Genomic DNA, 24,518 nt, shown 5'->3' with positions numbered 1-24,518 from the left:
TCAGTGGAGGTCACATAGAAAACTGGGGCTCCAGATGCCTCTAAAACCAATACTTGTTGGTGCCCTCTACATGCCAGGAGCTTTACACCAAAATACCTCATTTCATCCTCACCATGGGCATTTCTTCTTTTGCAGCAGAGGCAACTGAGGCTCACAGAGGTACAGTGAATTGCCAATATTGTAGAGCTGGCCAGTGGCAGAGCTGGGCCATGGACCCGGACTGTCTGTCTTCTCCCTGTTCACCCCTCTGGCCCCTTCTCTGGCCTTAGCCTGAGCTGCCTTCTCCTGGGTTGGGGCCTGCGCTCTTATGTGGAAGAGGTTAGCAAGTTCAGATCATGCCAGGGACAGGGGGATGGACTCCATGACCTCTCAGGCACTTCTCACGTTTCCCTCTTTCCCCAGAATCCCTTCTGGGTCTTTGATTCCTGGGTCAGATGCCTCAAGATGGCTGTGCAGGAGGCCCCGTGTCATGGTGTGAGCTGTGACCCCGGCCAGGGCGGCTGCATCAGAGAGAGGCTGGGGACACAGGAGGACAGGTGGGTGAGAAGCCAGGGAGAGAGACACATTCTGGATTTGTGCATGTCAGCCTTGGCTCTGGCAATGAAATGCCTTTTAATTTCATCATCCGCTTTTCTTTTTTCCCTCTGTGATGCCGTCTGGTGCCAGGAGGCCCTTGGCCACAGGGTGCGTGTTTAACAAATCCAATAAAGCCTTTTATTTGTCTCTTGCTTGCTCCCTGGAGCTCGGCTGGCCAGGGAGACATTGTCTCATTCACACTTCTTACCTGTGTGCAGGGTAGGGTGCGGTTGGCATCAAGAGCAGGGCTGGCCAAGTGGCTGGGAAAGTCAAAGGCCAGGGAGGCCTGCCCTGGGTGACCCACTCACAAGGAGTGACAGATGGTGCCCGGGCAGCATCCTGAGACCTGGGCACTGGTCCCAGCTCGCCACCAGCTCTTAGTTGGACCTTGGACAATCCTTGGACACATTGGATCTTCGTTTTTCCTCTGTGAAGTGGCAGGATTAGACTAGGTCAGTGGGTTCTGTCTATAAGTCTATCTGTCTATCTATTTTTTTTGGCAGAAAAATCCAATTCTTCAAGTGGAATTGGCTACAAAAGTCTCATCTTGGACAGCTCTGCCACTGCTCTCTGCCCTCTGTGATTTTAAAGATGACAGGCTTGTTTCTGCCTTGGGGCTTCTGCACTGGTCTTTTCTTTGTCATGATTATCCTTCCCCTAGAACACGCTGTGCATCGCTGGCCCTCATCTTGCCATCCAGGGGTCAGCTCTGATGTTACTTTTTCAGGGAGCGTTCCCCGGCCAGACCATCTAATGATACCCTGAGCACTCCACGGCATTCTGGATCTTACTCCCATCCTACTGTGTCCTCAGCAATTACCACTTTTTGACATTTTCTTGTGTCTTTATTTGTTAATATGTTTCTTGTCTGTTTTCCCCGGTAGCTTGCAAGTTTCATGAGGCTACAGGTTTAGTTTCTTTATTCACTGTCTTATTGATAGAAGCTGATACAGTGAAGGTGCTCAGTAAACAGCTGATGAATGGATGCATGCATGAATGAATGAATGGCCCGTCTAAGACAGATCAAGGTAAGGCTGCTCTGAGTTGGAGCAGGTGTAGAGGGCTGTGTCCCTGCTGACTGGACCACCCCTCAGGACCACCCTCCTCCTACAGTCTTTAAGGCCCCACGCTTCTCAGGGTGTCACAAAGCCAAGTTTGAAAACCACTGGATTGAGAAACTACCTTTTGGGTAACCATGCTCACTATCTGGGTGACGGGATCAATCATACCCCATACCTCAGCGTCACACAATATACTCATATAATGAACCTGCACATGTACCCCTTGAATCTAAAATAAAAGTAGAAATTAAGAAAAAAACAACAACACTGGACTTAATTACCTCTAAGACTCCTTGCAGCTCTGAGAACCCATAGCTAACTCTAAAAACAGTGGCACAGACAAGAAGTTCTGGGGTTTCAGAGAAGGGCAAGGTCAGTAATGGCTTCAGTAGTCTCCAAGGAGGTGGCCCCTAAACTGGTTTGGAGATTTAGAGATGGTGCAAAGAGCCCTTGAGGAGGAAGAGAGAAGAAGCAAAGGTTTGGGAGGGCAGGAATTTGGGGCTATTTCACACAACCGTCAGGATTTGGGAGAAGTTGAGTTTTGGACAAAGCCAGATATCGGGGGCCTTGAATTCTTGGTGAGATGGTTGAACCTGATGGGCAGCACGTGGGAGCAGGCACTGATGCTTTGGGCAGAGCAGTGAAGTCACCAGGGCCTTGCATTTGGCCAATGAGGTGGAGAGGGCAGGAGTGGAGGCTAAGTAATAACAAGGCCTGGACCGAGGCAGTGGGGATGGTGGGAGGGATGGGATCCAGGCGAGAAAGAAACAAAGAATGGAGCCAACTGGGCAGTGAATTAATGTGGTGGGGAAGGAAGAGAGAAGAGTCTAAGATAGTGCTGAGGTTTCCTACCCATCTGGGGAGATGGTGCCCTTGTTCAGGAGTTGCTGAGTGACTGTGTCATCAGGGATGATTGGGGAAGGGTCAACTTGCAGACAGGAAGCTCCCCCAGCCCCAGGCAGGGAGGGTGAGGCTTCCCAACTCAGCCACATCCCACCTCAGGCTGCTTGGGTAAAGAGGAGCTTTCTCTGAGGGCCAGGAGGTCCTCCAATTTCACCCCCTCCCAAGGGCCCCAGGATCGATGTGCTAATGGTCACACAGGAGCCTTGGCAGAGAGCAGGGATGAGTCAGGGGCGAGTCATCCCCACTGCGGAGAATAAGACACAGCATGGAGTGCAGCAGGGATGCCTGGGCCAGGGGAGCCACCCTTGACTCTGAGGCCTGGCATGTGATGAGGCACGTCTGTGATGCTCTGTGTTTCCAAGGGATCAGGACAAGGCCTTCATCTGCTCACTCCGCAGGTCACCCCCCCGACTGTCTTCTCCAACACAAGCCCTGAGTGCTCCTTAATCCTTGCAGTTCAGACAGAAAGCCAGTTCCCAGGAAGAATCAATTCAAGAGGGTGAGAATAATTTAAGGGCCTGCTCTAGCTATCCAGGGGTACGCTTTAGGATTTGGAGGTGCATACCTGGAGAGACTGACAGGAATGGAGGGGAGTCTTTGGATCTCTGGGGTGTGTTCTGGACCTTGGGGAAAGTATTCTGGAATTTGAGGACAGATTTTGGAATTCCAGCTTGTTCCAGCACTCTGGGCTCTTGTTTCAGAATTCTCAAGGATGTTTGGGAAGCCCAGAGTGTATTCTAGCTTTATGAGACATATTTTAGAACTCTTGGGGGCCTGCTGGAGTCCTGGGCTGGCTCCCCATCATTCACCTCCTTGGGCTTGTCTTGTCAGCTGTGATCTGCTGGTACACATGGTTACAGGGAGGTAGTTGCTATGGCAACAGTAACCATGAGGTGTATCAACTCCCAGAATTTACTCTGAGCCTGTGACATTTTAGCTGGTGAAGAATTGCAATTAGCTCCTGAGAGTCTGATGAACAGGGATTCCTGCCAACCCTTCCCCCCAACCTTAAATAACCTCCTTTAGACCCATAGATTCTGGCTGCCCAATTCTCCCTTGGGCAAATGAATATTCAAAAGCAGCCAAAAAGTGTATTCAAATCTTATAAACTTCCACCTGCCTCGCTCCATTTAAATGTAACTGCATCTTCTGTTTTGCCCCATTTATCTGCCAGGAAAGTGAAGGGTAATTCCGGGAGCTGAGAGTAAATGCTTTTCCCAAGTTGCTTTACCATCCTAAGTGGGGTAAGGGAGGGGCAAGGCTGGCCTCCTCTCTCCTATAAATCAGGCCCCTCAGACAAATCTCGCAGAATCCTAAAATGCTGGAGTGAATCTGCTGGAACTGTGGACCAGGGAGGGGAAGTGACATCAGGTACGTTCAGAGCTAGGCCTGGGCTCTCCTCCTCTTCTCCCCAGTGGCAGTTTTCTTAGCCAGGAGGGAAGGGCCCCTGCTGCTGGCTTCCCCTGGGGCTGCTTATTAGCGTAGGCTTTCTTGCCTGAGCCCCGGCGTCTGTCTACAAAGAAGTGTGAAGAACTCTCGAGAATCACCAGGGCTTTACAGATGAGGAAACTGAGGCCCAGAAGTGTCCCTCCGATGGTTGGTTAGTGGCAGGGCAGGAACCTGAACTTCAGACTCCCGGTTCTCAGCACAGATCCCCTTTTGTAATACTCACTTTTCCCACCATGTACTATTTATTAATGTATTCTATTCATGTATTCATGTATTCATTCACTCTATTCATGTATTCATACATGACTAGAGATCTGTCCGTCGATCCATCCATCCATCCATCCATCAATCCATCCAGAAAGATGTTAAGTACCTGCTGAATGGCCTGCACCACCTTGGGCCTAAGCATGGTAAGAAGCTCACAGTTGTGTCTCCTGGGCCTCCTGTTTATGGTCCAGGCAATCTGTTCCACCCAACCTCATTTATCTCCCTTTCTGCCAAACAGACAATCTCCCATCCAGTCTACTCATGCCCACCTCCCTACCCCACTCCCACCACACCGAGTTCCTTCTGGTCTCTGCCCTTTTGCTCATAATGTCTCCCTGCGTAGAATGCCTCTGTACCCCACAACTTATCCAAACCCTACTTATCCTCTAAGGCTCCCAGAAAAACTCCCCATCCTCTGGGAGCATTCTTGCCCACCCAGGCCATGGGAGCCCTCCTTTTCTGTGACTCTTTGACTAGGAACCGCACAAACCAGCCCCTGTTTCTGACTGTTCGGTTTTGTGCCAGTACACTCCCTGAGAGCAGACCCTGTGCTATTCTATTATGAGCATCGCTGTTGGTATATTTTGTAGAAGCTTTTCTTCAACCCTTATAGGTTCTTGGAAAGAACTGCTGTTACAAAAGACAGCTTAACAAGAGAAAACAAACCAAAGTTTATTAACATGGATATTTCATATCCATATGGGAGACAGCCAGGGGATGAGTAGTTCTCGGAGAGCTGGTTTGAATTCCAGCTCATAGAATATCTTCAATAAAGAACAGTCAATTTCTGGAGAAGTGACAAGACACAGGAAAAGAACTTTGAGTCTTGAGGGGCAGCAACTTGGGGGAAGGTAACAGCTGGCAGATCAAGGTTAGTAAAGCTCATTAGTCCCCATCCCTCTGGTATCACCTCCAGGTGATAGGCATCTATAGTTGTCTTCAACAGTTAACCTTTGCCCTTCCTGGTAGAAGGGGGTCAGGATACCTTTTGTCTTTGTAAATCTATGTTCTGCTTTTAGGCCAATAGAGGGAGGGCTGAGAGTTTGCCGAGAGTTTTCCTGTATCTGCTTTTTTTTCTTTCTTTCTTTTTTTTTTTTTAAGACAGGGTCTCACTCTGTTGCTCAGGCTGGAGTGCAGTGGCGTCATCACAGCTCACTGCAGCCTCCACCTTGATTAAGCAAACCTCCCATCTCAGCCTTGCAAATCACAGGTGCGTACCATCATGCCTGGCTTATTTCTTTTTCCATTTTTTTTTCAAACTTTTAAGTTCAGGGGTATTACATGTGCAGGATGTGCAGGTTTGTTACGTAGGTAAACGTGTGCCATGGTGGTTTGCTGCCCAGATCATCCCATCACCTAGGTGTTAAGGCCAGCATCCATTAGCTATTCTTCCTGATGTTCTCCCTCTCCCCACACCCCACCCTCTGACAGGCCCTGGTATGTGTTGTTTCCCTCCTTGTGGCTATGTGACCTCATTGTTCAGCTCCCACATATAAGTGAGAACATGTGGTGTTTGGTTTTCTGTCCCTGCATTAGTTTGCTGAGGATAATGGCTTCCAACCAACTCCATCCATGTCCCTGTAGACGATATGATCTCATTCCTTTTTATGGCTGCATAGTATTCCGTGGCATATATGTACCACATTTTCTTTATTCAGTCTATCATTGATGGGCATTTAGGTTGATTCCATGTCTTTCCTATTGTGAACAGTGCTGCAGTGAACGTACACGTGCATGTATCTTTATAATAGAATGATTTATATTCCTTTGGGTATATACCCAGTAATGGGATTGCTGGGTCAAATGGTATTTTGGCCTTAGGTCTATCAGGAATCTCCACACTGTCTTCCACAATGGTTGAACTAATTTACACTCCCACCAACAGTGTAAAAATACTCCTTTTTCTCTGCAACCTCACCAGCATCTGTTGTTTTTTGACTTTTTAATAATAGCCATTCTGACTGGCATGAGACAGTATCTCATTTTGGTTTCGATTTGCATTCTCTAATGATCAGTGATGTTGAGCTTTTTAAAAATGTTGCTTGGCTGCATGAATGTCTTCTTTTGAGAAGTGTCTGTTCATGTCCTTTGCCCACTTTTTAATGAGGTTGATTTTTTTCCTGTAAATTTGTTTAAATTCCTTGTAGACTCTGGATATTAGACCTTTGTCAGATGGATAGATGGCAAAAATTTTCTCCTATTATGTGGGCTGTGCGTTCGCTCTGATGATAGTTTCTTTTGCTGTGCAGAAGCTCTTCAGTTTAATTAGATCCCATTTGTCTATTTTTGCTTTTGTTGCAATTGCTGTTGGTGTTTTCATAATGAAATCTTTGCCTGTGCCTATGTCCTGAATGGTATTGCCTAGACTTACTTCTAGGGTTTTTATAGTTTTGGGTTTTACATTTAAGTGTTTAATCCATCTTGAGTTAATTTTTGTATATGGTGTAATGAAGGGGTCCAGTTTCAATTTTTATATAGGGCTAGCCAGTTCTGCCAGCACCATTTATTAAATAGGGAATCTTTTCCCCATTGCTTGTTTTTGTCAGGTTTGTCAAAGATCAGATGGTTGTAGGTGTGTGGTCTGATTTCTGAGTTCTCTATTCTGTTCCTTTGGTCTATATGTCTGTTCTTGTATGGGTACCATGCTGTTTTGGTTACTGTAGACTTGTAGTATAGCTTGAAGTCAGGTAATGAGATGCCTCCAGCTTTGCTCTTTTTGCTTAGGATTGTCTTGCATGCCTGGCTAATTAATATTTTTATTTTTATTTTTATTTTTTTATAGAGATAGGGTCTCCCTATGTTGCCCAGACTGGTCTCAAACTCCTGGGCTCAGTTGATCCTCCTGCCTCAGCCTCCCAAAGTGCTGGGATTATAGGTTTGAGCCATCGTGCCTGGCCTGCTGCTTCTTATTGCTTTCAGCTCAACCATCCTTCATATTTTCGGGTGGCATACACTAGTCCCCACAGTTACATTTGGGCAGTGCTGTGATGTAAAGAAAATGACACCAGAAGTGGAGTCAGACAAGGGGTCGAATCTTAGATTTACTGATGGAAGGTTGTGTGATCTCAAGCAAGGAACTGAGTCTCGCTGTGTGTGCCGCAGATTCACCAGGTGATGCCTTCAAAAACTCTTAAGTGCTAAACGAGCAGGAGGGGGCTTCTCATTCCAGGGTGTGTTTTCCTCCTTGCTACTTGGGTTTGTGGTCTTGTATAACTGCTGATAGCTTGAGGCACAGATATCCTCCTGGGAAGGAGAAAGGGGAGGTCTTATTTCAGGGCAATCTCCCAAGTAGTCTTTTCTTTCTAGTCCCTTCCCTCCAAGTAAGATCCAAGGTGATGGTGGGGAAAGCAGGGTTTGTTTTTCTCCCAAGAAGACTCATCTTCTCAATGGGTTGGGGAAGGCTGGGGCCCAGACAGGCTTTTGAGTGTTTTCCAACGGGTCATGGCTTCCTCCGGGAAGCCTCCTTTCTGGGAAAACAGGAAAGCCCTTGGCTGGCGTGACTCCCCCTCTGTGGACTCCTGACTTCAATCTTAATCATGTTTCTCTTTCCTCAACTGTGGCTTTAACACTCCCTGGGGGCCTGTGGTAGGAGGTTTAAGCCTTAAGCACTTTTTATTTTCCCTGCTGATTGATCTTTGTTTTGCAGAGCTGAGATTTCTTTACATCACAGTGGTTCAAGGAGAAAAACACAGCCAGATCCTTCCTCATCTCAACATAAATTAAACCCAGGTCTGTAATGCTTCAACCTCAAATCACATATCCTCATCCCTACCCCCTCGCTGCCCAAACCCCGCCAATATACAAGCCCAGGTGCACGCACAGGAAGGCACCTATTCTCTGGGGATGGGCGTGCCGCGCCCTCCCTCCCTGCAGACACCTGTGGGTGCTTGTGTTTACTGGCTCCTCCCTGCTAATCCCCCCTCCCCACGGTAGTTAGTGTCCATTCAAGCCCACTCGAGGAGGTAGCTTTACACATATACTGGCAAGACATGGGGTGCTCTCATGGGTGTGCCCTCACTGTGTGCATGGGCTTGTACACCTGCACACATGTAGCTGTGTAAAAATGCAGATCCATGTGCATCCACGTGCTACAAAGATAATTACAGCTCACAGTTACACACCCTCTGTGCCAAGTACTGTGAACTTTGTAGGTGTCTGTTCATCCAGCCCTTGCAACAACACTATGATATACACAGGACTGATGATTCTCTGCATTTTCAGAGGCAGTCAGCGCCACAGTCCACACTCGTAACCGTTACACTCACCTGGAAATAAAAGTATTTTTGTGCGGGGACTGCAAGGACTAAGCCCGGCCGCACTCCGAGTTTCTCCTCCTCACAGGTGCGTAGGTACAGGGTGTTGTTGCCCAAGGGTGGGAAGATGGGCAGGGAGTGGAGTGTGTGCACACCTGTCCCAAACTGCTCCCTTGGAAGCCTCCAGAGGCATTTCAGCCTTTTCAGGAGGCCCGTGCCTTGTAGCTGCGGTGCCCCTCTCCAGCACTGGCTACCTGGATTGTATTTTCTTTTCCCAAGTCGTGTGTCCCAAGGCCTAGCTGAGTCTCACCAGGCACAGAGTGGGGGACTAGGCCACTCACCCCAACACTGAGTGATCAGAAGCTCTCAGAGTCCCCGCTCCACCATGCTCCCATCTCTACCCTCCTCTCCTCTTACTGAGATCACTTTGGAGGATAGATACCTTCCCTGGGAAACCCTCCTGGGCCACCCTGATGGAGTCGGGGTCCCTTCACCAAACACCTACAGAGTGGCTCAGAGTCTCCCTGTCTCCAGGTTCTGGCTCTCCTGCTTCTCAGCTGTGTGACCTAGGGCAAGGTTCTCAACCTCTCTGAGGCCTTAGTTTCCTCATCTGTCATATGGGGATACTGTTGATACCTACCCCAAAAGTTAATGGGAGAAGTAAATGAGTGAATCCTTGGGAAGGGCTCAGAACTGCCTTGGCCCTGAGTTGCTGGCATCGTTGCTGTGGTCCTCAGCCTCACAGGCAGGCTCGTGGCTATCTGTCGGCTTCCCCTGTGAATCGGTGTGCTTTGCAAGGGCAGGGACCACAGCTTATGTTTCCTCTTGTCCCAGGGCCTGGCTCAGTCTCTGGGACGGTGTTGGTGCTGCTAAACATTGGTTGAACATCTGAGTGAGGGAGCCCAGGTCTTCTTCCAGCGGGACCTGTTTTGCAGCAAGTGGGATAAACCCCATCTCTCTGTCTCAGGGGTGCGGGGTGAGGCTGCCCGCCCTATGCCAGGGATGCAAAGTAGGGCAGGCCTCCCCAGGGGGGTTGCCATGGCAACAGGAAAGTTCTAATCAGCAGCCGACACACAGGGTTGCTTGGGAAGCATCGGCGGTGTCGCCTGCCCAGTGTGGGGAGACATGGTATGGAAATGGCATTCGGAGCCTCAGTGACTCATCTGTAAAATGGGGTCTAAGCTCCCAGCTTGTGATTCAGGGCAGATTTGGAGAGATCATGCCTGGGGAAAGCTGTTTGGAGCTGCGGAAGGCCCTGCTGCTCCTGGCTGTTTATTGACTGTCTTCTGCGCCATTACAGAAACAGCATGAGAGCAAAGGCATTGTATTACTGCTACACCCTGGCACCGAAAACAGTGCCTGGCACATAGTGGGGGCTGATAAACATCTGCCAAATGAAGAATTACTCAAGTAAGAAGGCTGAGACTTCTCAAGGTCTCACCCCAATTCAAAATCTAGAATTCTAACAGAGCAGTGGTCTGCAACAGAGACCCCTGGATGCCATCTCTGACCTACCCCAGAGTCCCACAGGCCCCTGAGTCCACCTCCCATCCCAGCCGTGAACTCTGTGAAGGCAGGCAGGGGACTGGTTTCCATCTGGCACTGGGAAAATTGTCCTATATTGGGAATCTTGACTTGGCTGATCACAGAAGCTTGGGGTTGGGGGCCGTGAGCTGAGGTCATGCTGGATAAAACAACGCAGGTTTTCAGCTCCCTCCCTAGTTCCACCAAATCAGACATTCTCGGGGTGCAGCCCAGCATTGGGGGTTTAAGCATGTTCCCAGGGAATTCTGGTGATCAGCCAGGCTTGGGGATTTCTGCCCAGGCCACAACCTCCTGGAGTTGGAGGGGCCTTAATGGGTCTACTTGACCAAGCCAGGGTCCGGCACTTCTCATATACCTGGGGAGACTGAGGTCCAGAGAGGGACATGACTTGGTCCAGTTCTCACGCTGGCACTCCTTGCCCTGGGACTTGGGCAAACTTCTAGGTCTGTCTGGCTTCAGCTTCTCCATCAACAATGATGGTGTCCACCTGCCTGGCTTCTCTGGGGGGATGGATGTCACAGGTCTCATCTGTGCATCCTGGTCAAGACATCCAACTGCAGGGAGGAGCACGGGCCTGGTAGCAGGCAGCTGCTCTGAGTTGCCAGCCTGGCCATTCCTCTTCCTGGCTTCTCGGACAAAGTGCCTTCAGCTTCCTGAGCATCAGTCACTTCTGCAAAATAGGCACAAGACCCATTTCCTGAGAAGTGGGTTAGTGAGGCCACTAAAGGCATGGAGACCTACTTTGAATTCTGGCTCTACTGGGTTGACAGCTGTGTGACTCCAGGCCAGTGACTTCACCTCTCTGAGCTGTAGCTTCTCATCCATAAAATGGGGGAGATGAAGCCCAGCTTCGTGGAGGTAATCACGAGGATTAGGTGTGAGGGTGCCCATGAAACACGCAGCAGGGGCTCAGCTAAAATGAATGCCCTGTTGAGGGAAGGCAGGAAGGCTGTGACTCAAGTGTCCAGACTGGTCTGCCCCAGCGCTAGAGGGAAGACTGGGAGCTTTGCCTCTGTATCCAAAGGGCAGCCCAGGGGAGGGGCAGTGAGGGGAGAGGTGTTTGTTTGAACAGCCAGAGGTGCTGAGAGGCTCCTGGTGTCCATTAGCGGGTTCCTGCTGAGTTGGAGGGAGTTGGAGGCCAGGGAAGTGATGAGCCGTCCCAGCTGTGTGATACTTTCTCAGCTGAAAAGCAGTTTACAAGTCGTTATCTTAATGTGTCCTCACAATGACCCTGCTAATTGTTAGCCTAGGGATCAGCCTCCTTGTTTCAGATGCGGAGATAAGAGCCCAGAGAGGTTAAGTGGCCCAGCCAAGATCACACAGCACAGTGGCAGCCAAAGAGAGGTAAGGTGGAAGGTGACTGGGATTCTAAAGAATGGTGGCAAGCCGAAGGGGCATACTTCCTGACTCGCGTCTAGCTTAACTCCTGCTTACTGCAGTCTCAGTCTATTGGTCCTGGTTGTTTTGTAGGGGTGGCAAAGAACTCAGACTCTGAAGCCAGATGCCTGGGTTCAAATCCTGGCTCGGCCGCTTCCCAAGTGTGTGCCTTAAGAAAGTCACTTAGCCCCTTTAAAATGAGTTCTTCATCTGTCAGATGGGGATAATAATAGCACCTCCCCATAGGGCTGTTTTGGGGAGAAGCTCAGTCCACGTATGTGTAGCATGTGCTCAGTGCACGATGAGTTTGCTGTCTTATGTATAGCTTTGCTGCTGTTAGATGAAGTGTACTCCTAAAGTCACGTCACCTGTCCGAGCCTCAGTTTTTTCATCTGCTAAATGGGGATGCTGACTCCTCAGCCATTATTTTAGGCCAGGCACCTGCCAGTCAGAATTTCATTTAATATTCCCAGCAACCAATGAGGTTGGTCCTCATTTAGTCCCATTCTCCAGATAAGGAAATGAAGACACAGAGAAGTGAACTGACGTGTCTATAGTTATTTGGCCAGAGACCAGGATGCTCCAACTCCAACTCAACCCTGAGAGCCTATGGCCTCCCCAATGTGCCTGCCTGCAGGCCTCTCTCCAGGGAACTCTTTAGGGCTGATACACTTGCCTGGGTCTTTGGAGTCTGGGAGCTGGTCCCTGCCTTGGATGCCAGAGCAGTAGAGAATCCATCCGCATCCCAAGATGGTGATCTCCCTCTGTGCCCTGCCCTGGCATGGGATGCCAGTCCAACCTGGGCCTCTCCTCTTTCCCTGGGCCTGGGGAGAGGCTGGCAGGCCCCAGGCCATGAGAGAAGGCCATTAGCTGGCACTGGAGCCCAAGTGCTGGTAATGACCCTATTTTCATAGGAAGGCAGCTCATGTCTCCCTGCGTTCCAATCTGCTCCCGGAGCTCCCACTCCAGAAGGAAGCAGCAGTGGGTTATGAAAGCAGGAGCGGGTTACATAAGGATGCAGCAGGCTCCAGTGGGATTGGGGGAGCAGAGCAGCCCCCAGCCCCAGCAGAGCAGGGCTAGGCTCCTGCTCCCGCCTTGCCCAGCTGCCCACCCTGGGACTGAGAACTGCAGGCAGGGCCGGGGCAGGAGTGAGCAGGGCGAGGCGGCGGGACGGAATGAGAGAGCCCGGGTCAGGGAGCTGGGAATCCTGGCTTGGGTCCTAGCTGTCTCATGACTTGGACAAATCCCTTTCCCTCTCTGGGCCTCAGTTTCCCTTTCTGGAAAAAGGAGGGGAAATCTTTAGGGGCCCTCCCAGTTCCAGGGGTGCTATGTTTTTCTCACCTTGGAGAGGGTCATACAAATTTCTAGCTTCTGACTCTTACCTGCTGCCAGCTTGCTTGAGCAGGACACAGTCCCTCTCTGGGCCCCAGTATCCCTGTTTATCTAACAAACAGAAGGAACCCCATTGTCAGCTTCATGGGTGCCAGATGTGCCTGGACTTTGGGGGTTCTGGATGTGACAAGAGAGTGGAACAAGGACATCTCATTTCCTACTCTCTCCTTTGCTCCTTGGTGGAGTTCTAGCAAAGACCAGCCATACCACATCATGATAACAGTAATAGCCAAGACAACTACCACTGATCAAGTCCTTACTACGGGTTGGGCCCTATGTTAAGCCTCTTTGCAGGCATTGTCTCATCAAATTCTCATAAGAGCCCTAGGAAGTAGGTACTTTTCTTATCTCTGTTTTACAGATAGGGGCTGAGGCTCAGAGAGGGCAAGTGACCTGCCCAAAGTCACACAGCCGGTAAGTGGCCAACTCAGGATTCGATTCCAGGCTCGTTAGACTCCACTTCCTATGACACTGTGAGTCTGAACAGAATTGGCTTGGTTATTTCCAGAGACCAAAGAAGTGGGTATGACCAGATGGTGTAAACAGCCCTGTTCTGTGGTCTAGGCTCTCAGGAATGTCCGTCCCCCTCACTAGCCACCCCCGGGCCTCTCTGGGCTCACCACCCCCCCACCACATTCCCTTTGTGCCACCCACGGTGGCCATGATGACATCTGGGAAGTGGGCAGCACAGCCTGCAGGCTGTGTGGGCAGTTGGCACTGAGGGTACTTGGGCTCTCATATTTTTAAACCCAGCTCTGGCCACCTCTGCAGTTGGCTCAGACAGAGCTGAGGGGTTTTCCTTTGGGCCCCGCTGACTCTGAGTGGGAGGGCCCAGGCACCACTGTGTCAGAAGGCACTGTGCCCACGGCAGCCAGGGGGATGCTCACAGCTGGGGTGGGATCTGTGTCCTTCAGACCCTGGGAGCCCCAGGCAGCTTGAGCAAAGCTTGTGGGAACCGTGGGTAGGTCTGAGGCTGTGGGTTGGAAGGAGAAAACCAGGGAGGACCAGGAAAGGGCTCGGGAGAGGAGAGGAGGGAGGAAGCCAACAGAAGGCAGAAGGAGCCGCAGGACAGAGGTGGGAGGTCCTTAGAGAGCATCGAATCCGACCCACTCCGTTTGAGATGGGGAAGCTGAGGTCGTGAGAAGGAAAATATCCAGATTCTACTGCGAGTTAATGGCAGAGCTGGGACTTGAACCCAGAGCTCCTGATACCCAAGCAAGGGTAATTTGGGGGCTCACTATTTATCCTGGTCGCCAGGAAGTCCTGTTCATGGGTACTCTGCTCCCGGGTAGGGGAATTTTATCTGCTCTGTAGGAAGGCAGGGGAGGAGGAGTAGGACAAGCCATTCATGCCCATGAATGGCTCCATGGGAAAGGAGCCAGAGGAGAGTTTCATAGCCAGGGGGGGTCGGATGATGGCAGGGGAGACAGAGGAGTTTGAGGGTGTGGCTGGGGAGTGAAGTAATTCACTAAACCCCTGCGGCTGCCATTGCTTCTCCCTTCTGATACTCCACGTATCTGCCAACTTCCCTGCCCTGACCCCTGGCTCCAGGAGGGGCCCTCATACATTGTGCAGAGCAGGAAAGTGAGGGGCCAGGAGGCCATTTACAGGAGAACCATGATGAAGGTGAAGGGCATGGAGTGGGAGGAGCTGCCCTCCATGGCTTTGTCACAGCCCCTTTCTGGGGCCTTTGTTTCTTCATTCATCCAATGGGGATAATCATTAGCATTTGCCAAGTACCAATTTTATTCCAGCCCTGGGCTAATCCCTTTTATATATGATTGTATTCAATTTTGCAGTGACTCATTGCTCAGGTGAGGAAACTGAGGCTCAGAGAGGGTCCGTGGCATGTCCAAGGTTACTCTGCTGGTAAGTGGCAGAACCTGGGTCTGTCTTCAGGGCCCAGGTGCTTAGCCAGTGTCTACGCCCTCCACTCCGGGGTGTCAAGTTGCTCCAGGGAAAGACAAGTAGTAGGAGAAAGGGCATTGGAGAGGATGTCCGAGATAGACGTCACTGGGGTGTCAGTCCCCTTCTCTGGCCTCCTCCCAGGGAAAGGGGGCCCAGACCCATTCCTATTGCCTCTCCAAATTCCTTCTTTTCCACCACTGCCTATTCCATTCCCTGCGCCACTGCCACCAGTGCCAGCCTTCGAAAACACAAACCTGATCATCTCACTGCCTGATTCAGCCCCTTTCCATGGCTCTCCACTGCCCTTGGGAACATCCAAACTGCATAACTTGGCATTCAGCGGGTCCTTTTGTAATGCACCCCCTTACCACCTCTCCATGGACCCTCTACTCTGGCTGATACCCAAGCAAGAGCGACTTTGGACTCTCCCTCCACAGCACTCCCTGGCCAGATTTTCTTCCCTTTCCCCGTGCCTTAGCTCAGACAGTTCCCTCCGCCATTTTCACCTTGTCCTCAAACTCCTATCCATCCCTTGAAACCCACCCCAAAGTCACTTCTTCTGTGAAGCCTTCTGAGCCTGCTCCTGGTGGAATGTCACTCCCTCTTGGTGTTCCCATTGTCTTAAGGGTGGTTCTCATTGCTTTGTTTTGTAGTTAATTGTTTTCTTGGCACTCTCTCCCTTCTCACCTGTGACTACCTGAGTGTCCCCAGAGGCAAGGAACTATGTGAGCCACTCCAGTGTTCCCAGCCCCAAGGCCAGGCACAGTGGACATTTATTGCTGAATGAATGAATCAAGAGAGAGGATCAGAAAGCTGCAGAGGATGATAGATCTGCAAAATTCTCCCTGGGTGAGGCCCAGGCTCAGCTTCCAGAACAGCTCCATCTGTCTCCCACTCACTGAGATTGAACTAATGTCCCACAGTTGGACAGACCTGAAATTGAGCTCTGTGATTTTGGGTAAGTCACTTAACTTCTGGGTCTGGTACCTCATTTGTGAAATGGGTTAACAAGATGGCTGGTAGGAGAATTCAGTAAGATATTGCATGAGAAACTTCTAGAACAGAGCCTAACCTTCAATAAGGTAGGTATTTAGTAAAGCTTTCTTCTGTCCTCTTGCTATCATCCCCATCATTGTCACCTTCATCACCAACATCATCTTCATCATCATTGCCATCCTCATTATCATTCCTGGGGTCTCTCTTTTTCTTTCCCAGATACCTGCCCCTCTGCTGGAGATTCTGCATGTCTGAGGTACCAGCCATTGCCAGAAACTGGGCTATGTTCTCTCCTTTCATTGTGCCATTTCATTCTCACCCCAAAATGAAAACACACAAAAAAATCACTTTCTTCCCAAAGAGAATCCTGTCATTCACCATATGGGTTGCTACAATGATCCCCATTTTACAGATAGATGAACTGAGGCCCTCGGCAGTGAAGTAACTTGCTAAGATCATACCACAGCTGGTAAGCAGTGGAAGCCAATTCAAACCCTGGTCAGTCATTTTGGCAATACCGAGCTGCTTGGGGCTCTCGAGCTCACGGACCCTTAGGGTTCTCCTGATACACCTCCTGCTGCAAACACTCCCCACAAAGGATCAGTGTGAGTTTTTAGCTCTTTCCTGAGTCCCCTGGGCCCAGCAGAAAAACACTGAGAGATTTACTGAGAATCTAGGGAGGTAAAATGGGACAGGCACAAAGACACCAGGAAGCTGGATGAAGCCTGGTAGGCTCAGAAGCCAGGCCTTTGGCCCTCCCTGGCTTGCTCACTCGGGCACAAACCAGCTCACTCTGGACTCACAGGGCCTGACCTGGGTCTCCTGCCTGAGGATCTGGTCCACAGGATCCACTTCAGAGAAACTCCACCCCTACTCCCATCCATTTCCAGCCCCCTTCTCCTTGTCTTCCTTCCTTCTGGAGAGGCATCGCTGGCATCTCTGAAGCTGAAATAACAACTCCTATGTTGGCTTTTTTTTTTTTTTTTTTTAAAGATGGAGTCTCACTCTGTCACCCAGGCTGGAGTACAGTGGCGTGATTTTGGCTCACTGCAACCTCTGCCTCCTGGGTTCAAGCGATTCTCCTGCCTTAGCCTCCCGAATAGCTAGGATTACAGGCACATGCCGCCATGCCTGGCCGCCTGTCTGATTTTATTATTATTATTATATTTTTGCATTTTTAGTAGAGACGGGGTTTCACCGTGTTGGCCAGGCTGGTCTTGAACTCCTGGCCTGAAGTGATGCACTCGCCTTAGCCTCCCAAAATGCTGGGATTACAGGCATGAGCCACCGCGCCTGGCCCTGTGTTGGCTTTTTAAGGGGAGGTTTAGTGAGAGGCTCAAAGGAGAGAATAGTGGGTTCATTCATTCTTCAAATCTGTATTGAGCATCTACTGTGTGCTACAATTGTGCTGGGCAGGAGGACCTGGAGATAACCTGAACTCAGTCCCTGCCCTGGAGAAGCCTCAGTCCCATTTTTGTCTCTAAGAGTAGCCAAGACCCTTCCCACTTCTTTGGCATTAGTTCTGGGAGTGCCTAAGGGCAGGGGACCATCTTTATCCCACGGAACTGGGCACAGAAGAGCTTTGAGAGAGCATTTGTAGTATGGACCTGAACTGAGCTAAATGACAGTAAAGCACTGCATACCCTTCTCTGATTTCAGGCATGGGCCTGGGGAACCTCAGCCCTGACCCTTTCCCATGGGTCCAACCCCTCTGTATGCACCCCTTTACTACAAAGCTTCTCATATTCTGTCCCCGTCTATATCTCACTTTCTACTCTGAGGTTGAGCTCCTACTATGTGCCAGGCACAGTGTTGAGCAGACACTGCTGTATCCTTATAGAGATCAATGATCACACACACAGACACCCACCCATCCCCTGCAGCTTCCCCTACCCACCACACACCCTAAGAGGGTATTAAAGGTTTATTACTCACACAATGAGGCTCTTAAGAAAGAGCAGAAAAGCTCCCAAGCAGGTAAAAAATGGCTTGAGAGACTAGGAAAGGAGGACTGGATTTCAGTTTTTATAGATGGATTGACCACAAGGATATTATAGAGTTTTAAAAATAGACCTCAAGAATTGGGATGAGTTTTTTGTGGACCTCAATGGTTCCTGGTGCATGGGCTGGCCTTTGTGGTTTGAATTTACTGTTAGTGCCAAAGGAAGGAGCTCTCAGGTTTTATTATCTTGCCTAGATGTGGGACAAAAGGGGAAGGGGGAGTGGTGGGTGTGGCTAGTGTCAGATATCAAACATCAAACACTTGAGGTCAGGGGTTCGAGACCAGCCTGACCAACATGGTGAAACCCCATCTCTTCTAAAATTATTAGCTGGGTGTGGTAGTGCATGCCTGTAATCCCAGCTACTCAGGAGGATGAGGCAGGAGAATTGCTTGAACCTGGGAGGTGGAGGTTGCAGTGAGCTGAGATGGCCCCTTTGCACTCTAGCCTGGGTGACAGAGTGAGACTCTGTCTCAAAGAAAAAAATATATAAAAAAATAGAGCTGACTCCTTATTACATAGTCACACCCACCCCTGCCCCTCTTCCCTACTGTCCCTAAACCTTGGCAACCACTAATCTGTTCCCTGACTCAATGATTTTATCATTTTGAGAATATTATATAAGTGAAGTAATACAGTGTGTGGCCTTTTGAGATGTTTCTCCCCTACTCAGCATGATGTCCTTGAGGTTCATCCAAGTTGTTATATGTACCAATAGTTAGTTCTTTTTTATTGCAGAGTGGTATTTGGTGGTATGGATGTACCACAGTTTGTTTAATCGTTTGCCTATTGAAAGATATTGTGGTGGTTTCCAGTTTTTGGTTATTACAAATAAAGCTCCTATGCTTTTTCTGATGTTATTGTAACTATTCCAGCTTTCTTTTGATCGTTGTTTGCACGATACATCATTTTCTAATCTTTTCTTTCATCTTATCCATATCATTATATTTGAAGTAAGTTTCTTATAGATAGTATATAGTTAGATCATGTTTTTTAAAATCCACTCTGCCAATCTCTGTCTTTCAATTGACTTATTTAGATCATTTACATTTAATGTAATTAATACTTTAGGGCTTAAGTCTGTCATTATACTTTTTGCTGTTTGTTCCTTCTGTGTTTATTTCTGTTTTATTTTTCTTGCCTTCCTATGGTTTACTGGAGCATTTTTAAAATAATTCTATTTTGATTCATTTAGAGTATATTTGAGTGTATTTCTTTGTATATAGATCTTTTAAAGTGGTTTTAGCAGGTATTGCATTATACTTACGTAACTTATCACAGTCTACTGATGTTAATAGTTTACCAGTTTCAGTGAAATATAGAAACCTTACCTCCTTTAAAGTTCCCTTTCCTCCTCATTTAAAATATAATTGTCTTAATTGTTTTCTTTACATATTTTGAGAACCACATCTAACAATTTATTATTTTTGCTTCAATGATCAAATATAACTTAGACCAACCTGGGCAGCATGGCAAAACCCCACCTCTACAAAACAAAAACAAAAGACAAAAATTAGCTGAGCATGCTGGCATGCACCTGCAGTCCTAGCTACTTGGGAGGCTGAGCCAGGAGAATTGATTGAGCCTGGGAGGTTGAGGCTGCAGTGAGCCATGATCATGCCACTGCACTCTAGCCTGGATGACAGAACGAGACCCTGTCTCAAATATATATATATTTATCTTAGAAAACTCTACAAGGGAAGGTAAATCTATTATGTATATATCTCTCCATTTTTCTGCTCTTTCTGTTATTCTTCCTTTCTGAGGTTCCAAGATTCATTTCTTTACCATTAATATTTCAAGAACTTCTTTTAGCCATTCTTTTAGGGTAGGTCTGCTGATGACAAAGTCTCTCATTTTTCCTTTGTCTGATATTGTCTTGACTTTTCCTTGATTCCTGAAGGATAGTCTCACCAGATACAGAATTAAGGGTTGACAATTACTATTTTTTTTAATACTTGAAAAGTTTTGTGCTGCTTTCTTCTGGCCTCCATGATTTCTGATAAACCATTGTTGCCCAAGCTATTTCTTCCCCCCATAGATAAGGTGTTGTTTCTCTCACTGCTGTCAATATTTTTTCATTGTTTTTAGCTTATTGAAGTTTGGTTGTGATGTGTCTTAATGTGGGTTTCTTTAGGTTTATCCTCTTTGAGTTTTACTTGGCTTCTTTAATCTATAGGTTTATGTCTTTGGCCAAATTTGGGAAATTTTCAGTCATTATTTCTTTGAATACTTCTTCAGCTCCATCCTCTTTCTCCTTTTGTAGGATTCTGATTACTTGAATGTTGGATCTTCTGGTATAGTCCCATAGGTCCATGAGGCTCATTTGTTTTCAGTCTATCTTCTCTCTTCTTTGGATTAGGTAATTTCTATTGTTCTACCTTCAAATTCATTGCTTGTTTCTTCTTTATTCTCCATTTTGCTGCTGAGCCCATTCATTGTATTTTTAAAAAATTGTTTATTATATTTTTCAATTCTAAAATTTTCCATTTGGCTCTTCTTTATATCTTTTGTTTCCTGAGACTTTCTATTTTTTCACTTGTCTCAAATGTTTTGGAATTGCTTGTTCAATGATTTTTTTTTTAATGATGACTGCTTTAAAATTTGTCAGATAATTCCAACATCTGTGTCTTCTCAGTGTTGGCATCTGTTGATTGTTTTTTCTCATTCAAATTGAGATCTTCCTGGTTTTTGGTATGATGAATGATTTTCAGTTATATCTTGAACATTTTGGGTGTTATGAGATTCTACATCTTGTTTAAATCTGACACCATGCCCGTGGGGGAAGGGAAATGACTTCTCATTACTGCCAGGCAAATGAGAGCTCAGGTTCCCCGCTCATCCTCATTTGACACCCCAAATGAGAGACATGGCTTGCTACTGTTGGGAAGAGGTGGGATTTCAGGCTCTTCACTAGATCTCCATTGACACAGCCCCAGCTGGGAGGGAAGGGGTACCTCATGATTGCTCCCCACATAGTCTCCACTGATACTGGAGCTGGAGAAGGCTTCATGACTATGAGGAAGGTTATGATTTCCACTCAGTCTCCTCTAATACCACACCAGTAGGGAGGGTAGGGGGTGCCTCATTACCAATGGGCAGGGGTGGAAGTCCACAATTCTAATGTGGCCTCCACTGACTCCAGGATTGGGGTGAGAGAGGGGGTACTACTACCTGGCAGGTATGAAAGTCCTGGCTCTCCATTGAGTCTTCTCTGATACCACTTTGGTGGGGGTAGAGGCCTAGGCTCTCTACTTGGCCTTTGCTGAAGGGGTTTTAGGTTGGGCCACATTACTTCCCTTTGATGTTTGGCTAGGGTGGAGTGGTAATCATTTAGAAGTTTTCTATGTACTAGGTTCTTGCTCTTTCTGGTCCTTTGACTAGGGACAACAAGATTTCCTTGGGGCTTTTAAATCTGCTCCCAGTGGCATTTCCAGATTGCTGGCTTCTCCAGCATTCAGCCTGAGATCTATGAAATAATCAGAGAACTCAAGGAACTCACCACTGTGTCATCCCTTAGCTTCAGAAGTTCCTAGCCAGTCTTCCTTCTTCTCTCCACCTTTCAGAGTCTACTTTGCTTGTTTTAGATACAATGTCCAAGATTTTTAGCTGTACTTAGCATGAGGAATAGGGAGACATGCATCTACTCCATCTTGGTTCAGAACCAGATGGTTATGGAACGTCTCTTGGTTCAGAACCAAGAGAACTTGGTTCTCTACAGTGTTTAACAAAATAAGTAGAGCTAAGCCAAGAGAAACAAGGCTTGGTTAGAAAGTAAAAAGAGATAGATCAGTTGAATATAATTTGGCATCTGTAGGATGAAACAAGAAAGTAAATGTTTGATTGTTTGCAAGGTTTTGATTAGAGAAGCATACTATGGTTGGCATGCCCTTGGTATTAGGGTTATTACCATAAGAGCAAAGCAGCTCAGCACAGCACATCCACCGCTGCACATGGAATAATAGTAATAGGAGGCAATGAGTGTACAAGCTTAATTTAGGCCTGGAAGAAGACTTCCCTGTGATACCACCTAGAGATAGTATAAACAACCCTAAGGGAGATACCATCCCTGGGGTTGGGTTGGGGGAAATTCTAAGAGGGATGGGAGAAGGGGAAGGGGGTTTAGGCATTTGGATAAATGTATAAATCCAAACCTGTGTATATGAGAATGTGGAGGAATGCAGGCGTTTTCTTTTTACTGCTGATCCTGTTCAGGTTCCTGAAGCCACTAAGTGGTTGGTTTATCACTCCATGCCTAACAGAGTGCCTGGCACATAGTAAGTCCTCAATACATGTTTGTTGAAAGAAAGAAAGAATGAATGAGTGAATGAATGTTTTTCTGTGTTACATCACTTATTTCACTAGCTGTTATGGACTGGACATTCCCCAAGAATGGGGAAATGTTGGAGGCTTACCCTTCTGGGGTTCTGGATAAGTAACCTGTAGGGAACCCTCAAGACAGTGGTGCATACGTTTTCATGCTCAAAGGGGTAGGCTCACCAAGAAGAAAGAAGAGATCTGGGAGTCAACAGTTCATCCACTGACCCATCAACCCATCTATCCATCCACTCACCCACCCATCCCTACCCATTCATCTATCTACCCATCTGCCCATCCATCCAGGGGTGGGGGCAGATTGTGCAGGTTTTCATGCCCAGAGGGGCAGACCCATTGAGAGGGGAGAGGGAGAGATAGAGTCAACAGTTTATTTGTCTATCCATCCACCTACCTATCCAGTCATCCATCCATCCCATCCATCCATGTGAGGTTAGAGCCAGATTGTACGTGGTCATTGAATGGCAGCCTCAAGATGTTAGACTGAAAACTATCTTTCGTGACAGCTGCCAGGGAGAGGAGGTTAACTTATATGAACAGCCCAAGTGCCTGCTGGAAGCTCACTAGAACTTAAGCAGGCTGAATAAGTGGGGCCTGGGCACTTCAAGAAGTCACCTCTCAGTGCCATCATGCCAGTTTTGGAGAGAGCTGGGGAACAGATGGGACACAGCTACTCTCATGAGCAAAACACCTAGATTAGGTACTTATTAACCCAGTTTATGCTAACTCTAAGGTGCAGGGAGCAGATGGAATGATCTGAATGGGCTGTACTCAAAAGCCAAAAGTTCCCAAAGAAGAGAGTACCTAGTCAGGCTCTCTGGCATCCTTGTTGGGTTTAGGGCTGGGTAACAAAAACTTTTTGAATGACTACATAATGTGGGAGGCAGTGACTTTCAAATGCCTCTTCCTTTGCGTAGAGATTTCAAGTAGCTCTTCAGGGTTAAAATCAAGCCTGGGGCAGTGAGGGGGCCAGGCCTCCTGGAGAAGTCTCCACCTTTCATCTCAGCCTCGCCTCTGGCACCTCCCTCCCACTGCCATCCTTGATTTCTGTCTGTGCTCACAGCGTCTGGATCATAGGAGATGCTCAGTAATGTTTATAGAATGAATGAGTGGGTAAATATATCAACAAATATTTATTGAGTGCCTACTATGTGCCAGGCATTGTTCTAGAAGCTAAGGTACAACAGTAGATAGGACAAATGCTCTGTCCTCATGGATCTCGGTTTAGTGCTCAAAGTGTTTTAAAAACACAAAAGTGAGTCATACCTCTCATAGTTTATACACTGCTGCTGTTGTTTCCTGAGGTCTATGCCAAGTGAAGCTTGCAGGTGCCAATGGGTGATGGTGTCTTGGGGCCAAGACTTGGTGATTGTTTCTGGGAAGAAGGGGTGAAGAGAGGGCAGTACCCACTGAGGAGCCAATACTGGTCAGGATCCTAGCTACTGTATCCTGAGCCCTTGTATATGCCCGTGCACATACAGTGTATGTTTATCTCTCTGTTCTCCAATCACCCTATGAGGCAGGCTCTTTTTTTTTTTTTTTTTTTTTTTTTTTTTGAGACAGAGTCTCACTCTGATGCTAGGCTGGAGTGCAGTGGCGTGATCTTGGCTCATTGCAATCTCCACCTCCCAGGTTCAAGCCGTTCTCCTGCCTCAGCCTCTGGAGTAGCTGGGATTACAGGCGTGTGCCACCACACCTAGCCAATTTTTGTATTTTTAGTAGAGATGGGGTTTCACCATGTTGGCTAGGATGGTCTTGATCTCCTGACCTCATGATCCACCTGCCTCGGCCTCCCAAAGTGCTGGGATTACAGGTGTGAGCCACCACACCCAGCCGAGGCAGGCTCTTTTATTTGCTCTGCTTCCCCAAGGATGCGCTGAGGACCCAGGAGCTGATGTGACTCACCCAAGGCCATGAGGGGAGGAGGTAGTAGAGCTAGGATTTGAATCCTGGTCTGTTTGGTTCCAAAGCCTGGGTTCTTAACCACTTGGCTCAAGTGCCGGGGAGGGTGGAAAGGGGTGGCAGGAGGGGTCTGCAGGAGCTGGAGCCTGGCTTTAGGAGGGCTTTGGAGAGCTGTCCTGCATGCCACCTTGTTCCTAACACCTACTGTCCTTGAATGTGGAGCTGTCATTGATGACTTCAGGCAGACCTACCAAGCCAGGCTGCCTGTTTCCTGCCCACAGAGAAGGCCATTTGGCAATGCAAATCATGTCTGCCCACACCCGCTATGGATCCTGTAAGTTTACACAAATCACTGAATAAAAATTACATATTGCTGTAATTTACAAACACCACCCCGCCATTCGTAGCTGCAGAGGGAGATGGTGAGTGCTTGCAGAAAGCTGTCAACAGCTCTTGGGCCGGCTGTGCGCGCTGCAGCTCTGGTACGGTGGCAGTCACTCAGTGCTGCCGCGGCCTCCACTGCTTCGGCGGTAGGTGGGGACCTGGTTCTGTGG

At 48.2% G+C, this 24,518-nt stretch overlaps 1 long non-coding RNA gene across 1 annotated transcript in view, besides 4 other annotated features; it reads left to right on the top strand.

Moving 5' to 3' along the window:
• Positions 1 to 24,518, top strand: part of LINC01141 (long intergenic non-protein coding RNA 1141) — a 68,994-nt gene that overhangs the window by 14,623 nt on the left and 29,853 nt on the right. The window contains exons 2-6 of the long non-coding RNA NR_033887.1: positions 7,903 to 7,985; positions 8,478 to 8,597; positions 13,185 to 13,237; positions 14,623 to 14,692; positions 15,385 to 15,689. This is a non-coding gene — a long non-coding RNA (long intergenic non-protein coding RNA 1141). The remainder of the gene's footprint in view (positions 1 to 7,902; positions 7,986 to 8,477; positions 8,598 to 13,184; positions 13,238 to 14,622; positions 14,693 to 15,384; positions 15,690 to 24,518) is intronic.
• Positions 3,353 to 3,546: a silencer, noted in NCBI's record as "fragment chr1:20737119-20737312 (GRCh37/hg19 assembly coordinates)". NCBI's record gives its function as "represses an EF-1alpha promoter that drives an FKBP-Casp9 reporter gene in an ReSE screen in HepG2 liver carcinoma cells {active_cell/tissue: HepG2}" and the evidence as "EXISTENCE:reporter gene assay evidence [ECO:0000049][PMID:32094911]".
• Positions 7,442 to 8,030: an enhancer, noted in NCBI's record as "OCT4-NANOG-H3K4me1 hESC enhancer chr1:20732635-20733223 (GRCh37/hg19 assembly coordinates)". NCBI's record gives its function as "activates a minimal SCP1, AML or CMV promoter by ChIP-STARR-seq in primed H9 embryonic stem cells {active_cell/tissue: H9 hESC(primed)}" and the evidence as "EXISTENCE:reporter gene assay evidence [ECO:0000049][PMID:30033119]".
• Positions 10,955 to 11,494: an enhancer, noted in NCBI's record as "NANOG hESC enhancer chr1:20729171-20729710 (GRCh37/hg19 assembly coordinates)". NCBI's record gives its function as "activates a minimal SCP1, AML or CMV promoter by ChIP-STARR-seq in naive H9 embryonic stem cells {active_cell/tissue: H9 hESC(naive)}" and the evidence as "EXISTENCE:reporter gene assay evidence [ECO:0000049][PMID:30033119]".
• Positions 13,126 to 13,626: an enhancer, noted in NCBI's record as "H3K4me1 hESC enhancer chr1:20727039-20727539 (GRCh37/hg19 assembly coordinates)". NCBI's record gives its function as "activates a minimal SCP1, AML or CMV promoter by ChIP-STARR-seq in naive H9 embryonic stem cells {active_cell/tissue: H9 hESC(naive)}" and the evidence as "EXISTENCE:reporter gene assay evidence [ECO:0000049][PMID:30033119]".

The sequence above is a fragment of the Homo sapiens genome, chromosome 1 (genome assembly GCF_000001405.40).
Source record: "Homo sapiens chromosome 1, GRCh38.p14 Primary Assembly".
Taxonomy (NCBI): Eukaryota; Metazoa; Chordata; class Mammalia; order Primates; family Hominidae; genus Homo; species Homo sapiens.
The sequence above is the reverse complement of the archived record's forward strand: the minus strand, read 5'-3'. Positions and strand labels throughout refer to the sequence as shown.